Source organism: Homo sapiens, chromosome 8, assembly GCF_000001405.40.
Source record: "Homo sapiens chromosome 8, GRCh38.p14 Primary Assembly".
Lineage (NCBI taxonomy): Eukaryota > Metazoa > Chordata > Mammalia > Primates > Hominidae > Homo > Homo sapiens.
The window spans coordinates 143,548,227-143,563,194 of record NC_000008.11 but is presented as its reverse complement, the minus strand read 5'-3'; the positions used below and the strand labels follow the sequence as shown (position 1 = coordinate 143,563,194).

Genomic DNA, 14,968 nt, shown 5'->3' with positions numbered 1-14,968 from the left:
AAAAGAAGCCGGGCAATGCAGACATCACCTGCACTTGGCCCTGATGTCCCTCCTGATCATGCATGGGTACTGTCCCCACCCCTACCCACCCTACCCCAGATCCAGGACCCCTCAAAAACTCTGCTACCAGCCTTTCCTTCGTATGCCACCTTTATTGTGTTTCCCCAACTCCTGGGCCCCATGGTAGACTGGCCACATGGCTACTGGGCTCCTGGCCTTCCTAGGGCTAGCAGCTGGTGGGCAAACACTCTGCCCTGCTGGAGAGCTGCCAGGCCATGCCCGGGCACAGGCTAGTGGGGCTCCTGGCTCAGTCCTGATAGCAGTGCCAGGGAGGCGTAGAGTGCACACATGCGGCCCTGGGCCTGCGGCTCCCAGCACACGTGGGGAGTGTCCTCCCCCAGCTCTAGGCCACACTCGTCCAGCAAGACCCAGGCCGGTGCTCCTTCGCCCCAGCTGTTCCCCAGGAGCCCGGGGGGCAGGGACATGGTGCTGCGCTCCTGCCACGGGGCACTCTGCTCCAAGAGGCTGCCCACCTGCCAAGACAGGGCAGGAGTGAGTCAGATGGGGAAATCTGGGCATCTTGTGCCTGCCCATACCACCCCTTCCCAGGTGCCACAGGGCCCCTTCCACTGGCTCAGCCCATCCTCCTGCAGCCCGAACCCAACCCTCTCACCAGCTCGAGCGGCCCCAACAGGGTCTGCGACTCCAGCGCCTCCGCCAGCAGCTTGTGCTGCGTTTCACTCAGCACTGGGAGAGAGTCAGGTAAAAGGGGGTTTCTGAACGCCCACCGGGAAAGCCCACCTCCCTCCCTCCCACCCGCCACCTGCCCCCAGCGGCCGCTCACTGGTCAGTGCCCCCAGCAGGTAGACAACAGGGATAGCGAGTTCCGGCACCAGCATTCCGGAGGACAACACCAGGCACTCCAGGACAGCACCTGCTGGACCGTCCAGGGGCTCCACCGGCCCAAGGCTCTGGCCCTGCTCCAGCTGTGGGCACGGGAAGGGCAGGTGAGTCTGGCTGGCTGGGCAGGCCTTGTGTGCCCCGGGCACCCTCCCCCGCTCACCGCCTCCTCCAAGGCTCGCAGGGCCAGCTGGTCCCGCAGCACCCCCTCCAGGCCCTCCAGCAGCAGCTGGCACAGCTCTCTGTCCAAAAGCTCCAGTTCCTTGGAGATGGTCTCCACCTCTGCCCGTAGGCCCTGGAAGTCTTCAGTGAACGCCCCCTCCGCAGGGACCCCATCTGTAGGGACAGAAGGGCTGGCACTGCCCAGGTGCTTACAGGGCCCTGGAAAGCCTCGGTCAGGACAGGCAGACCCCAGGGGGCAGGAGAGCCCACCAAAGGTCCCCGGGGCGGTCAGGAGGGCACTGACCTGTCAGGAAGTTGTGGAGGCACCTCATCATGGAGAGGCCAGAGGGCAGCTGTGGCCAGGCGCCTTCGCTCGTGGAACGCTTGTGGCCTGGGCAGGGGCATGGGAGGGCAGGGCTGGTCAGTGCCGGGGAAGGGTGTCTGAGCCAGAGAGGGCTGAGGCCTTCCCCAGGCCGTCACAGCCCCGCTCACCACTGCCAACACTGGCAGCCCAGGGCAGGAAGGGAGGCTGGGGAGGCCCAGGGTCAGCTGTCCTGTGTTGCCCCTTGTGTGTGTATGGGGGGTGCCCACCGCCTCAGGGGGCTGCCCGGCCTCCCTGTGCCCTGAGAACATGAGGAGAAGGCCTCAACTGCCCAGGGAGTGTGCTTTTCCCACCGGACACCCCATGCTGGGGGCTCTCGGCTCTCACCTGTCGCGGGTGGCTGGAAGGTCCTCTGCTTCTTATCCGGGAAGAGAAGGACGTCTGGCAGCCAGACGGGAGCAGACAGGGACAGGCATGTCACCTAGATCCCAGCATCCCCTCCCCTCCCCTACTAGGAGCTCCCCTGTCCAGCTCAGGCCCTGCCCAATCACCCACACACCAGAGCACAGGACCTCAGCCACCTGCCAGACACAGGACGTTGTTCAGCCAGGGGCCCACGGCAGCCCAAGCTGGCGGGTAGCTCTCCCCAGGCCTCCCTGTTTCTCTGCCAGGGCCTGGGCCCGAGACACCCCCAACTCCAGCTCACCCAAGTCAGAGTCAATAACCAGCTGGGCCACCCGGAATGCGAGGGTGCTGCCTGAGGGGATGGTGACCGTCTTCTTCTGGCTCAGATGGCCCTGGCCCTCACCCTGAGGCATGGAGATGGGCTCGGGGCTGGGCCCTGGCACCGGGCCGTGGGGTGCGGGTGCGGGCCGGGTGCCGGGGGCAGGCCCGCCGCCAGGTGACTTCGGCTCCGCAGCCAAGCGCAGGGCTGGGAGCTGCTCCGAGGGGCCTTGGCGGAGCCCAGCCCGCCGCCTCCGTCACCCGCCGCCGCATGCCCACGTGGGGGGCCAGGCGTGGCCCGGGGCTGGCTACACACCTGCAAGCACGTGGCTCCGGGCAGGGAAAACCGGCCCGAGCCCTCCCGCTTGTGGGTGCGCGTGACTTCCACCTCCTTCTGTGTCTGCAGCACCTCAGTCACCACGTACACGTTGTCCCCGCGGCTGCGCAGCTGCTGCAGGACTTTGTGTTCTGGCTGCCGCAGGTGCCTGTGTCCGAGGAGCAGCAAAGCTCGCTGGGCCGCAGCCCCTGAAGGCGTCTTCCCTCCCCTGACAGCCCCACGCCACCGGGGGAGGTGGTGCAGAGGGGCCCTCCAGAGGTCTGTGGGTGCCGGGGCACCGGCAGCCTCTCCGTGTGCTCCCCACGGGGACGGGACCCCATGAGGAAAGGTGGACTCGGGGACTCCAAGTCCAGACTCGAGGTGCGGCCCCCTCACCTGGGCCCCCGTGTTCACACCACCCCTTGTCCTCACAGCAGCCTGGGGCTCAGTCCGGTCCTTAGGATCCAGTCCTGGCAGCGGAGGCCCCAGATGACCCCTGCAGCTTCCTTCCTGCAAGCTGGTTCCGGCCACAGCGCTCTTTTGCCTCTGGGACTTTCCTGATGCCCCAAGGTTGTGACCTTCCCAAGAGCAAGGCTGGGACCTGGCACAGTGGCTCACCCCTGTAATCCCAGCACTTTGGGAGGCCGAGGCAGGAGGACTGCTTGAGGCCAGGAGTTCAAGACCACCCTGGCCGAGATAGCAAAACCTCACCTCAAAAAATAATTTAAATAAATAAATAAATAAAAGCAGGGTTGCTTGGGGTAGGTGGGGCCCTGCCCTGCCCTGCCCTCTTCGGGCCCACCTCTCATGGAGCAGAGTCTGCCAGGTGTTAGGGTCCACACTCAGCGAGTACACATTCATTGAGGTGCTGGAGCTGTCAGACACCGCGGCCCCGCCTGCGATCTTTGCCTGTCCTGGGGCTGCCAGCTCCACGCTGCCCTGTATCTGCCCATCCATGGCATCGTAGAAGTGGAAGCTCCTGCCACGCTGCACGTCTAAAGCAAGGCCAGACCTGAGGCTGTGCCCAGCGCCCCGCCTCTCCCCCGCCCCCACCAGCCCTGTCCCAGCCCCAGGGCAGAGGGACCTTTGGAAAGGCCCCGGCCTCTGGAAGAGAGGCCCAGAGCTAGAGGCTGCAGAGCCCAGTGGATGGTTGGCCCCAGCCCGCTCCCCTCTCCCATCCAGCCTCCCTGGGGCTCTGCCTCAGCACCACATCAGGCACCTGGTTCCGCGGCATCCGGCTCCAGGATGTCCTTGATAGACAGGTTGACACACTTATAACGGGGTTTCCAGAACCATGAGCTTGAGGGCTTCCTAACCACCAGGCAGTAGGGCTGGAAGCCAGTGGAGCTCTGCAGGCTGGTCACAGGGATGAACTCCCCACCATGGTCCAGCTCCTGGACCACTCTCCGGACTACCCGCTCAAAGGCCGACCCCATGCTCCTGAGGAGGGGAAATGGGTCAGGCATTGTGCTCTCGGGGCGGGCGGGAGGGAGTGGGAGAAGGGTCAGTACTTGGATGTCTCCCATGATGGGGGACTCCTTCCCTCCAGAACAGCCCTGCCCAGCTCATCCTGGGATGCTCCCACTAGCAGAAAGCTTCTGTCCCCGGCCCTCCCCAACACAGAATTACAGTGTTCTCCCTGTTGTCTACGGTACCATGAGCACCTCCAGCCAGGGACAGTGAGGCCTGACGCCCAGACCTGCTCTAACACAGAGGGCTCTGTCCACTAGAATGGCTGCCTCTGGCTGGGAGGAAACAAGCTGTCACCTCCTGAGCGTGGTGCAGGGACCCACTGCAAAACCCAGCCAGAGTGTCACCAGGGACCCACTGCAAAACCCAGCCAGAGTGTCGCCCCACCCCAGCTGCGTCCTCCAGGGCCTTCTCTGTGCCTGGAGCTCCATGAGCCACCTGTCCAAGGCTGAGGCTTTGGGGGTCAGAGGCCATAGCGGGCCTCCGCTGGGATAGGGGGCACCTGGGCCACTGTGGAGGGGCTGCAGCTGCCCCAGGAAGCCTCTGAGTGCTGGGTCTGCTGAAAGTGGAGGCTGGGCCCAGAAGGCAGCTGGGGGCGGGAACAGCACCGGCCCGGGAACCTGGATGGCGGACCTGGGAGTCAAGCCCAAGCCCAGGTCCAAAGGCCGGGCCCCTGGGCTGGCCAGGGGCAGCCTTTCCCGAAGCCTGGAGCTTCCGCCCCCGTGTGCGGCGCGGGGCCTTCTGGGCGAACGCTGGGGCAGCAGGGCCAGCATCCCCCACCCGGGAGCCAGCGGCCGGCCCCACTCGGGAGCTCCAGCCAGGCCGGGGGAGGGGGCGGGGCGCAGCTCACCGTGACCGTCGGCGCCCCGAGGGTGGCGCGTCTGGCGCGTCTGCTCTCCCTGGGAGCCGTCCGGCGAGCAGGAGCTGGAGGTGCCCAGAGCTAAAAGTGAAACTGCAACCTGACGCAGGGCCCGCCCAGGACGCCCTCCCGGAACCGTCCCGGAGAGCCCGCCCCGGCCCCCTTCCTGCCCCCTCTTCCCGCCAGCCCGCCTGGAGCACCAGCCTCGCGCGTCCGGAGGAACCTTGGCTTGGCGCCCCATCCTGGTAGCCTCAAACTTCATAGCACTTTGTGGTTTTTCTTAAAACTCTGAGCCTGTGCCCGGGCGGATCACCTGAGGTCGGGAGTTCAAGACCAGACTGACCAACATGGTGAAACCCCGTCTCTACTAAAAATACAAAATTAGCCCGGCGTGGTGGCGCATGCCTGTGATCCCAGCTACCTGGGAGGCTGAGGCAAGAGAATCGCTTGAACCTGGGAGGTGTAGGTTGCAGTGAGCCGAGATCATGCCATTGTACTCCAGCCTGGGCGACAGAGTGAGACTCCGTCTCAAAAACAAACAAGCAAACAAACAACTTTGGGCCTGTGCCGAAGGGTCTGGGCAGATCTTCCAAAGATGTACAAAATGTAGAAATTGCCCTCAAGCAAATGCAAAGATGCTCAACACCCTTAGTCATCAAGGAAATGCAAATGGAATCCACAGAGAGATACTGCACACTGACAAAGATGGTCGTATTACTAAAGGTGAATAACCAGCGCGGGGGGCACGTGGAGTCACTGGAACATTTGTGCAATGCTGGTGGGAATGTCAACCCGTGCGGCCCTCTGGAATAAGCCTGGCAGCTCCTCCAAGAGTTACCGTGTGACCCAGCAATTCCACTCCTAGCTCCACCCACAGGAATTGAAAGCAAAGACGCAAACAGATGCCTGTGCACCAAAGTTCACGGCAGCATCCTTCGCCATAGTGGCAGCATCCGTCGTCACAGCGGCATCATCCTTCATCATAGCGGCAGCATCCGTCGTCACAGCGGCAGCATCCTTCGCCACAGCGGCAGCAGCTGTCGTCACAGCGGCATCATCCTTCGCCATAGCGGCAGCATCCTTCGCCAAAGCGGCAGCATCCTTCACCATAGCGGCAGCATCCTTCGCCATAGCGGCAGCATCCTTCGCCATAGCGGCAAGGTGGAAACCCTGTCCATCCACTGAGGCGTGCATAGACTAAACATGGCCAGTCCAGGCACTGGAATCCAGGCCGTAGAACGGCGCCCACGGTCAAAAGGAATGAGACCCTGATGCACTGGGCGACACAGACGGGCGACACAGACTTGGAGACATCATGCTAAGTGAAAAGCCAGGCACACGGAGCGGACGGCGTGATCCTGCTCACGTGATGTGTCCCGAATGGGCACGTCCAGAGGGAAGAAGGGAGATGGCGCTGCCGGTGCCCGGGACGGGGGTTGGGAGCGACGGTTGCTGGTTTGGGGTTTCTTTCTGGGGTGAGGAAGTGTTTTGATATTGGCCGTTGGTGATGTTTGCATACCTCTGAATATGCTAAGACCCACAGAATTGCACACTTTAAATGGATGAATTGTATGGTATGGGAATTACACAATTATGTCTCATTAAAGCAGTTATTTTAAAAATCTAGTGCCCAGTAGCAACACCTAGTCTCGGCACAGGCTCCCTCAGTGCCCTACTGACCTAAGTCATGGTGGGCCCAGGGCCATGGGCCCACCCCTGCACACGGTAGTCCTCCCACCCGGCCCTCCCAGCCGCTCCGCGGTTGTGGATGGGGCTACTTGGGCTTCGGCCCCACTCCTAGGCCTGACCACAGTGGGGACACAGTGGTGCCCTGCGGGTCCCTGCTGGTGCTGTCTCCTGGCTGTTTTGTGTATTTTTTGTTGTTTGTTTTGTTTTGTGTGAGGCAAGATCTCTCTGTCGCCCAGGCTGGAGTGCAGTGGCACAATCACCACTCACTGCAGCCTCGACCTCCTGGGCTCAAGTGATCCCCTCCTGTCAGTCTCCTGAGTAGCTGGGACTACAGGTGCTCAGCACCACACCTGGCAAAGTTTTCGTTTTTGTTTTGAGACTGAGTCTTGCTCTGTCACCAGGATGGAGTGCAGTGGCGTGATCTCAGCTCATTGCAACCTCTGCCTCCCAGGTTCAAGCGATTCTCCTGCCTCAGCCTCCCGAGTAGTTGGGACTACAGGCATGTACCACCACACCCGGCTAATTTTGTGTCTGTGTGTGAGAGACGGAGTGTTGCTCTTTTTTGCCCAGACTGGAGTGCAATGGCACAACCTCAGCTCATTGCAATCTCTGCCTCCCGGGCTCAAGCAATTCTCCTGTCTCACCCTCCCGAGTATCTTGGATTACAGGTGCCCGCCACCACGCCCAGCTAATTTTGTATTTTTAGTAGAGACAGGGTTTTACCATGTTGGCCAGGCTGGTCTCGATCTCTTGACCTTGCTATCCACCCGCCTTGGCCTTCCAAAGTGCTGGGATTACAGGCGTGAGTCACCGCACCTGGCTGTAAGTTTTTAAAATTATTTAATTTTCAGTAGAAAGGTCTCACTATGTTGCCCAGGCTGGTCTTGAACTTCTGAGCTCAAGTGATCCTCCCGCCTCAGCCTCCCAAAGTGCTGGGATTCCAGGGCTGAGCCACTACACTGGGCTTGGGTACTGTTTTGCAGACCAGGTGGGTCTAAGGTTTCATCTCAGGACACACTGCTGGGCAGAGCTGACCTTCCTCCGTGACCCCGGCAGGCAAGGAGCCCACACACTGCTGCCCCTGGAAGCCAGCGCCCTGGGGTGTGGCAGCCCGTCCCTGCTGGGTAACAGGGCCAGCACGTGCTGAGCTGTTGTGCTGCAGCCTCCATGGTGAAGATGGAAGGAGCCGGGCACACAGCATCCCTGCAAGGCCACAGGTGTTGGGGGTCGCTGCTCCCTGCCCTGTCCTAGCAGCCACTCCCGAGGGGTCAAGGTCCTGGCTGGGGCAGAGTTGGGCAAGGAGGATGCAGGCTCATTTGCTCACCCAGATCCTGCAGCCCAACCCTGAGCCCAGCTGGAGGTGTCCAGGGCAGGGATGTTGCGGCAGCCTGGGGCTCTGCACCCTCCACCCTTCACCGCCACATTCTGCCTCTTGGCCTTTACCTCCAAGAGCTCTGGGGCCACACCAGCCCCCCACCCTGCCTGGCTGACCTGGCCTGAGCCTCACCCTGAAGGCTCTCACACTCACTCATTCATCCAACAAATGTGTATTAGCACCTGCTGCTAGGTGATTTTCCAGCGATCCTGGGTTCTAGCAGCAAACAAGACAAGGTCTCTGCCCTGGTAGGTCTGAGGCCAGTATGCTGAAGGGGATTTCTGGTGGTGTGTGCGTTGGAATGCTGCAGCCACAAATAACTGGAAATTCAGATGCCAACAGAAGGAAACATTATCTTGTGTAATCAGAAACCCAGAACTGCTGTGTACCCCAGGCTGGACACAGGCAGGCCTGAGAGCTTTGGCTGGTGATGGGCACCTAGGGCAGGGGGTACCCAACTCGGCCTGGCGGGCTTCTAGCTCTGGTCCAGCTGGAGCCCATTAGCTGGGTGTGGGCCCAGAATCCTTGCTTATGGTAGCAGGAGGCTCCAGGAGCCTAAGAAGAGACTAACGCGTTTGTGCGCGTGTGTATGCACGTGCATGTTGTGTGGCTGTTGTGCGCGTGTGCATGCAGGTGTGTGTGTATGCACGTGGGTGTTGTGTGCCTGTTTGTATGCGGGTGCTTGCACGTGCGTGTTGAGCGTGTTTGTGCACGTGTGTATGCACGTGTGTGTTGTGCGTTTGCGCGCGTTTATGCACCTGAGTGTTGTGTGCGCGTTGTGCGCGTGTATGCACGTGCGTGTTGTGTGCGTTTGCGCGCGTGTATGCACGTGCGTGTTGTGTGCGTTTGTGCACGTGAGCACACACGTGCGTATTGTGCGTATGTGTATGCACGTGCGTGTTGTGTACATGTGCGCGTGTGCATGCACGTCCGTGTTTTGTGCATGTTTGTGCGCGTGTGCATACACGTACGTGTGCGCGTTTGTGCGCGTGTCTGTGTGCGGGTGCATGCACGTGCGTGTTGTGTCCACGGGTTTGTGTTCACGTAGGGCATGTACACGTGCATTTGCCCAATGTGCTCCCGCTCGTTGATGCAGGCACGCATCTGCATTTATATGTAAGTGGGCCTCTGTGTTCCTGTGTGTGCACATGTCGCTGTGTGTGTTCATGTGCAGGTCACGGTGCGCAGCCGGTGCCACGCCCGTGGCTGTCCGCTGCAGGAAGGGGAGCCCATCTGGGCCTCCTCCCTCCTCCCCTCCTCCCGCTTTTCTCCTTTCCTTTGCAGCAAAATTCCTGGAAAGCCCTGTACAGCCTCGCTGCCTCTAGGTCTGTGGTGCGTCAGGCCCCTCCCAGACACCGGCAGGAGGTGGCGGCCTCCAGAGTGCAGGGCGGGCCTTGCCTCCAGCAGGGGTGTGAAGAGCCCAGGCTTATTTTCCGGGAAGGCCTCGCTGCCTTGTTGGGGGAATGGGGTGGAGGCGGCAGGCACGGCAGCCCCTGTGGGACTTGGTCTGAGGCCAAGCAGGCGCCGTCTGCGGGCAGGAGGGGCAGGTGAGGGCCCGGACGGCTGAGCAAGGTGTGGCCCACCGTGCCCGCAGGTCAACGGGCAGTGACGAAGTTACCTCAGCTTCCAGCTGGGCGCTGGCGAGGACAGGTGCTCTGTCCACACTCAGTTCTTCAATCATCACCCCGAACGGGAAGTGCTCGAAGGAGGGCAGAGGTCAGCCTGGGAGGAGGGAGGGAGGCCGGCCCCGCCCCATCGCTCCGGCCCCCATTCACAGGCGGGGCCAGAAGTGTTGAGGGCAGAACCCTGCAGCGAGAGGGCGAGCGCCTCCGTCCCCTGGGTCGGGGTTCATCCCTCCGCCCAGTTTACGGAAGTCGGCGAGGCGCCCTGGGCCAGATCCGCGCAGGTCCTGGGGGGCCAGAGCCTGGGGAACACCACGTCCCTTCTGCTGCGTGTGCAGAGTGAGCGGCGGGCGGCGGGGCTCCAAGGAAGGGCGGTCCCGGGGGCGGCTGTCTCGGAGTGCGGCTGAGGGGCCAGCCCCTCAGAGGGGGCGCCTCTGCCCTGAGCAGCGTCCAGGCCCCTGGTTCTAGGAGCCAAGACAAGCGCTAGGGTGGAGGCGCGCAGAGCACGGAGGAGGGGACCAGCCAGAGAGGTAATCCCCGAGCCGGGAAGGGCACGAGGACTCACGCCAGACCGCGACCTGGACAACCCGGCCTCGGGAACCAGCCCCGCGCAGGGCGGGACTTCAGGTGCCTGCCAGACACTGTCCTGGCCTGGCAGCAGCTCCCGAGGGGGTCTGGGGTGCCGGGGAAGTCCCCACTATGTCCTGGCAGCCTCACTCCTCGCTGGCTTCTCTGCCTTGCCCGTCCCCTCCCCGCACCCTCCCCTCCCCTCCCCGCACCCTCCCCTCCCCTACCCCCACCCTCCCCTCCCCTCCCCCCACTCCCCTACCCCTGCCCCCTACCCCTCCCCGCCTTTCCCACTCTGCCCCACCCTGCCTCTTCACAGCTTCACTTTTGCTGGTCCTCCTGCCCCCTGCTCTACACACAACCCACCCCCCACCCCACCTCCCTATCCCCCCACCCCCACCTCCAGGGCTTTGGGCGTCTGAGCCCACATGGGGCGGATTGTGGTGATGGGGGCCCTGTGGGAGGGGTGTCGGGCTCAGAGGCGCCCCAAGAGTGAGGAGAGGCAGGTGGCAGAAGAGCCCTGCTAAGGCCAGGGGGCCTCAGGAAAACTCCCCCAGCAGCTCCTGGGCACCCCACGGCTTACACCCGCTCCTGGGGCAGAGGGCGATGGGGTTAGGGGCCAGCCGCTGCCTGCAGGGAACCCAGGCCTTGCCTCCCAGCGCTCTTCCCTGGCACGCACCCCCCATCCTGTCCCCTTCTGGGGTCCCTGCCCTGAGGCCTGTCCTTTCCTCCCCAGCTCTGGAAGGAGTGTTGCTCCCTGGGCAGGTCTGAGGTGGGCTTGAGGGAGGGTGACACAGAGGCATGCCCCACCTGGCTTCTGGCTTTCTGGGCCTCCGCCTCTCTTCACTTTGCTAGAAGAAGCCGTCACTGCCAGGATCCGGGCATTACTTTGGGGGTGGGGAATGTTTTCCATGCAGGTGGGGAACTCCTGCACTTTGGCCAGTGTTTAATGCCCGTGGAAGCCTGGCACAGAGAGATTCACACCCTTCACCCACCATGGTCCCGGAGAGCCTGATGGCAATGCCTGACCTCAGGAACAGGAGACCAACAAAATACACTTTCTTGGCTTGGTGCTGTGGCTCATGCCTGTAATCCCAACACTTTGGGAGTCCAAGGTGGGTGGATCACATGAGGTCAGGAGTTGGAGACCAGCCTGAGCAACGTGGTGAAACCCCATCTCTACTAAAAATAGAAAAATTAGCCAGACATGGTGGTATGCGCCTACTCAGGAGGCTGAGGCAGGAGAATCGCTTGAACTTGGGAAGCAGAGGTTGCAGTGAGCCAAGATCACAACACTGCACTCCAGCCTGGGTGACAGAGCAAGAATCCATCTCTAAAATAAAAATATACTTTCTCCCAAGGTCCCCAGCCCAGAGGGTGTGAGGGCCTTGCAGTGGGAGGTAGGTGTCACTGCGCATCCGTGACAGTGGGGAGAGTGGGATGAGGGGGACCCACCAGACCTCTAGAGCAGTTTTCTCCCACTGTCACTTTCTCCCTCCATAATAGAGGGCACAAGGGGCATCATGGGGCACTGGGTGTGGCTGGCCAGACACCTGTTCCCACCTGAGTGATGCAGGACTTTCCTCAATCACTTTTGCCAGCTGGAGACACCCAGCCGGCCCTTGCCCTGCTTCGGCCCTCAACTTCAGGGCTGGCTCAGGCCCACCGCCATTTCTGTCATGGAGGGCAGAGGACCACAGTGTTACAGCCTTCTCTGTACCACGTTCGATGGGTCCCATGCTCTTGTACTGCATCCAAGAAGAATGAGGATATGTTGACAATCAGATAGTGAGGAGGGGCTGGACACAGTGGCTCAGGCCTGGGAGGCTGAGGTGGGAGGATCACTTGAGTTCAAAAGTCTGAGACCAGCCTGGCCAACTGGTGAAACCCTGTCTCTACTAAAAAAAAAAAAAAAAAAAAAAAAAAAAAGCCAGGTGTGGTGGGCACCTGTAATTCCAGCTACTTGGGAGGCTGAGGCAAGAGAATCGCTTGAACCTGGGATGTGGAGGTTGCAGTGAGCTGAGATCACGCCACTGCACTCCAGCCTGGGTGACAGAGTGAGACTCTGTCTCAAAAAATAAAAATACAAAAATTAGCCAGGTGTGGTGGTGGGCACCTGTAGTCTCAGCTACTCGGGAGGCTGAGGCAGGTGAATTGGTTGAACCCAGGAGGTGGTTACAGTGAGCCGAAATTGTGTCACTGCACTCCAGCCTGGGTGACAGAGTGAGACTCTGTCTCCAAACAACCCCAACACACCCCAATAAAGAGTGAGGAGGGTGGAGAATAATTTTATTGAGCAATGGAATAGCTGTCAGTGGAGGGGATGATGCTGGGGTGGTTTCTCTCCCAATGTGGCTGAGTCCTGGGCTTTTATGGGCTCAGAACAGGGGAGGGCATGCTGATTGGTTTGTGGGCATTCAAAGAGAGACTAAAGCAAAGGCACCACTGAAAGGTGGGCATGATGATGTAGAAAGCCAATTCGGTAGGGTAGGTATATGTAAAATAGGTGAAGGGTGGGGACGAATTAGAGGAAAGCACGCCAGACAGGAAGTCAGGTTCTCAATCCGGTCTGAGGATTTAACTTGTAGCTTGGCTTTCAGGCTGTCTTTGGCTTGGAGGTGGAGCTCCACCAGGGACCCACTCCTATCTGCGTAGGCATTTGTCTGTCTCCTGCCACTATCACGAGGGCCTGGGGCCTGGCTGCATGCAGAACCCCCACCTGGCAAGGAAGGTGGCTGGAGGGGTCAGGGCTCCAGGGCCACACCCCCGGGGTGGGTGTGGCTGGGTCACTGGAGGGGAGAGGCAGGGACTTTTGCAGGGCAATGAGATGGGGTTAGGGGTGGGGTGGAGGGGTGGTGGGGTCCGGGGAGTGGTGTTGGGGGGCGTGGGGTACATAACAAGCCCACAAAAGGCCTGACATTCTGCGCATGTCCCCTGATAAAAGTGCGTTTAGCATGGCTACACTGCGTCTTATTAGTCCTCCCTTCCCCAACAGAGGCTAGTGCTTGGGGCAGCCTTCTGAGGTTGGGCTGGAGAGAAGTGGGGTGCTTTGAGGCCCAGAGCACCCCTGGGGGGGTGTTGGGCAGGCGCAGGGCAGCTTGCGGACCCAGAGGGAAGAAGGCTGCTTAGGCTCTGGTGCAGAGTAAGCCCCTGCATAAGAAAAGAGCTGGAAGCTGGGTGTTGGGGAGGGGAGGAGAGCAGAGGGAGGTGGGATGGGGACAGAGAAAAATCCCCCGTGGGGAAGGAGGGGAGAAGTCCACTGCAACAGACAACAGTGATGGCTTACTCTCGGGGTTCATCTGTTTACTGAAGTCTGATGGGAATCCCACCCCACTCAGACCCACACTGGGCAGCGCTATGGGAAGGGGCTCCATGAGAAGGAAGGAGACGCCGAGGAAGAGTGGGCGGCCAGCACCTGCAGACCCCGGTGGGAGAGACGGCCACGAAGCAGCCTGGCCAGGATGTGCAGTGCGCTGCCCTTCCGAACACCGGTGTGCACAGCAGGCGGTTTAGGTGACTCTGCTTCCCGCCAAGGTGGGTTGTTTTCACGTTTGCCAGTTTCACACGTGCCAGAGCTTTCAGCGTAACTGCGGAGACCAGTTGTAGCAAGTTGACTCTGACAGTGCTCACATCCCATTTACAGTTTCACAACCCCAGAAAACAAACTCACACACCTTGCCCTGTCTCAGCAAGTGGCTGGGCCTCTCCCACCACCCTACTACCCAAGAATACATCAGTTTTTGCTGTGTCACAAAGCACCCTAAAATGCGGTGGCTTAAAACCACATCCACTGATTTGCTGATAGTTATGGGAGTTGGTAATTTAGGCTGTGTTCGCCTAAGATGGCTCAACTCTGGTCCCTGTGGTGCCATCTGGGTTCACTGGTGGGCAAGAGACAGTCAGTCGGCCAACATGTTGGGCAGATAACTGTTGGCAGGAGGGTCAGTGGTAGGAAACCGGAGTCTCACTCAGCTTGAGCTGCTATGAAAATCACCACAGAATCGGTGGCTTATGGCCGGGCACGGTGGCTCATGCCTGTACTACCAGCACTTTGGGAGGTTGAGGCAGGTGAATCACCTGAGGTCAGGAGTTCAACACCAGCCTGGCCAACATGGTGAAACCATCTCTACTAAAACTACAAAAATTAGCCAGGCGTTGGGCCGGGCACGGTGGCTCATGCCTGTAATCCCAGCACTTTGGGAGGCTGAGGTGGGCAGGTCACGAGGTCAGGGGATTGAGACCATCCTCGCTAACACGGTGAAACCCCGTCTCTACTAAAAATACAAAAATTAGCCGGGTGTGGTGGCGGGCGCCTGTAGTCCCAGCTATTCGGGAGGCTGAGGCAGGAGAATGGCTTGAACCCGGGAGGCAGAGCTTGCAGTGAGCCAAGATCGCACCACTGCACTCCAGCCTGGGCGACAGAGCGAGACTCCGTCTCAAAAAAAAAAATTAGCCAGGCGTGGTGGCAGGTGCCTGTAGTCCCAGCTACTCAAGAGGCTGAGGCACAAAAATCGCTTGAACCCGGAGGCAGAGGTTGAGTGAGCTGAGATCACGCCATTGCACTCCAGTCTGGGTGATGAGAGCAAAACTCCATCTCAAAAAAAAAGAATCAGTGGCTTAGATAGTGAAATTTCTCATAATTCTGAAGGCTGAAAGTCTGAGAGCAAAGTGCCAGCTTGGCTGGGTTGTTGGTGAGGGTCCACTTCCTGGTTTCGATGAGATGGGAGTTCAGCACGACTTGTTTCACAAGATACAGGTCACAGAGAGCCCACTGATAAAGCAGGCTGCGGTAAAGAAGCCAGTCAAAACCCATCAATACTGTAGCAGGACGAGCCGCAGTCAAAACAACCCAGACACCGGATTAAAGAAGGAAGAGGTTTTTATTAGGCTGGGACCGTCAGCAGACTCATGTCTTAAGAGGCGAGCTCCCTGAAAAAGAAATTCCTAGCCCTTTTAAGAGCTT

At 60.2% G+C, this 14,968-nt stretch overlaps 1 protein-coding gene and 1 long non-coding RNA gene across 3 annotated transcripts, besides 6 other annotated features; one reads left to right on the top strand and one right to left on the bottom strand.

Moving 5' to 3' along the window:
- Window positions 1-132: 132 nt before the first annotated feature.
- Window positions 133-9,808, bottom strand: GSDMD (gasdermin D). Of its 2 annotated transcripts, NM_001166237.1 has the most exons (14): window positions 9,435-9,808; window positions 7,999-8,136; window positions 7,165-7,261; window positions 4,744-4,833; window positions 3,643-3,863; window positions 3,226-3,418; window positions 2,424-2,592; window positions 2,091-2,193; window positions 1,772-1,825; window positions 1,367-1,453; window positions 1,064-1,236; window positions 845-986; window positions 674-747; window positions 133-533 (listed from the first exon to the last, which is right to left on the bottom strand). In NM_001166237.1, the coding sequence occupies exons 5-14, from the start codon at window positions 3,857-3,859 to the stop codon at window positions 291-293; spliced, it is 1,455 nt and encodes a 484-aa protein (NP_001159709.1). In that variant the 5' UTR covers window positions 3,860-3,863; window positions 4,744-4,833; window positions 7,165-7,261; window positions 7,999-8,136; window positions 9,435-9,808; the 3' UTR covers window positions 133-290. The 2 variants fall into 2 exon arrangements, with proteins under 2 accessions (NP_001159709.1, NP_079012.3); NM_024736.7 differs by lacking the exons at window positions 7,165-7,261; window positions 7,999-8,136; window positions 9,435-9,808 and having other exon boundaries at window positions 4,744-4,849.
- Window positions 4,393-5,034: an enhancer, noted in NCBI's record as "H3K27ac-H3K4me1 hESC enhancer chr8:144640331-144640972 (GRCh37/hg19 assembly coordinates)". NCBI's record gives its function as "activates a minimal SCP1, AML or CMV promoter by ChIP-STARR-seq in naive H9 embryonic stem cells {active_cell/tissue: H9 hESC(naive)}" and the evidence as "EXISTENCE:reporter gene assay evidence [ECO:0000049][PMID:30033119]".
- On the top strand, window positions 4,924-6,376 carry LOC100310756 (uncharacterized). The gene has a single exon (NR_147504.1). It is a non-coding gene; the product is annotated as an uncharacterized LOC100310756 (long non-coding RNA).
- Window positions 8,205-8,948: an enhancer, noted in NCBI's record as "H3K27ac-H3K4me1 hESC enhancer chr8:144636417-144637160 (GRCh37/hg19 assembly coordinates)". NCBI's record gives its function as "activates a minimal SCP1, AML or CMV promoter by ChIP-STARR-seq in naive H9 embryonic stem cells {active_cell/tissue: H9 hESC(naive)}" and the evidence as "EXISTENCE:reporter gene assay evidence [ECO:0000049][PMID:30033119]".
- Window positions 8,949-9,694: an enhancer, noted in NCBI's record as "H3K27ac-H3K4me1 hESC enhancer chr8:144635671-144636416 (GRCh37/hg19 assembly coordinates)". NCBI's record gives its function as "activates a minimal SCP1, AML or CMV promoter by ChIP-STARR-seq in naive and primed H9 embryonic stem cells {active_cell/tissue: H9 hESC(naive and primed)}" and the evidence as "EXISTENCE:reporter gene assay evidence [ECO:0000049][PMID:30033119]".
- Window positions 9,082-9,376: a silencer, noted in NCBI's record as "tiled region #11851; HepG2 Repressive non-DNase unmatched - State 1:Tss". NCBI's record gives its function as "represses a minimal TATA promoter and a strong SV40 promoter by Sharpr-MPRA in HepG2 cells {active_cell/tissue: HepG2}" and the evidence as "EXISTENCE:reporter gene assay evidence [ECO:0000049][PMID:27701403]".
- Window positions 12,772-13,360: an enhancer, noted in NCBI's record as "H3K4me1 hESC enhancer chr8:144632005-144632593 (GRCh37/hg19 assembly coordinates)". NCBI's record gives its function as "activates a minimal SCP1, AML or CMV promoter by ChIP-STARR-seq in naive H9 embryonic stem cells {active_cell/tissue: H9 hESC(naive)}" and the evidence as "EXISTENCE:reporter gene assay evidence [ECO:0000049][PMID:30033119]".
- Window positions 13,361-13,950: an enhancer, noted in NCBI's record as "H3K4me1 hESC enhancer chr8:144631415-144632004 (GRCh37/hg19 assembly coordinates)". NCBI's record gives its function as "activates a minimal SCP1, AML or CMV promoter by ChIP-STARR-seq in primed H9 embryonic stem cells {active_cell/tissue: H9 hESC(primed)}" and the evidence as "EXISTENCE:reporter gene assay evidence [ECO:0000049][PMID:30033119]".

Coding starts and splice junctions, on each gene's coding strand:
- GSDMD (NM_001166237.1), bottom strand. CDS start 3,859: ATGGGGTCGGCCTTTGAGCGGGTAGTCCGGAGAGTGGTCCAGGAGCTG. Junction 1,454..1,771: donor CTTCCAGCCACCCGCGACAG/GTGAGAGCCGAG, acceptor GCCCCTGCCCAG/GCCACAAGCGTTCCACGAGC. Junction 748..844: donor CCTGCTGGGGGCACTGACCA/GTGAGCGGCCGC, acceptor ACTCTCTCCCAG/TGCTGAGTGAAACGCAGCAC.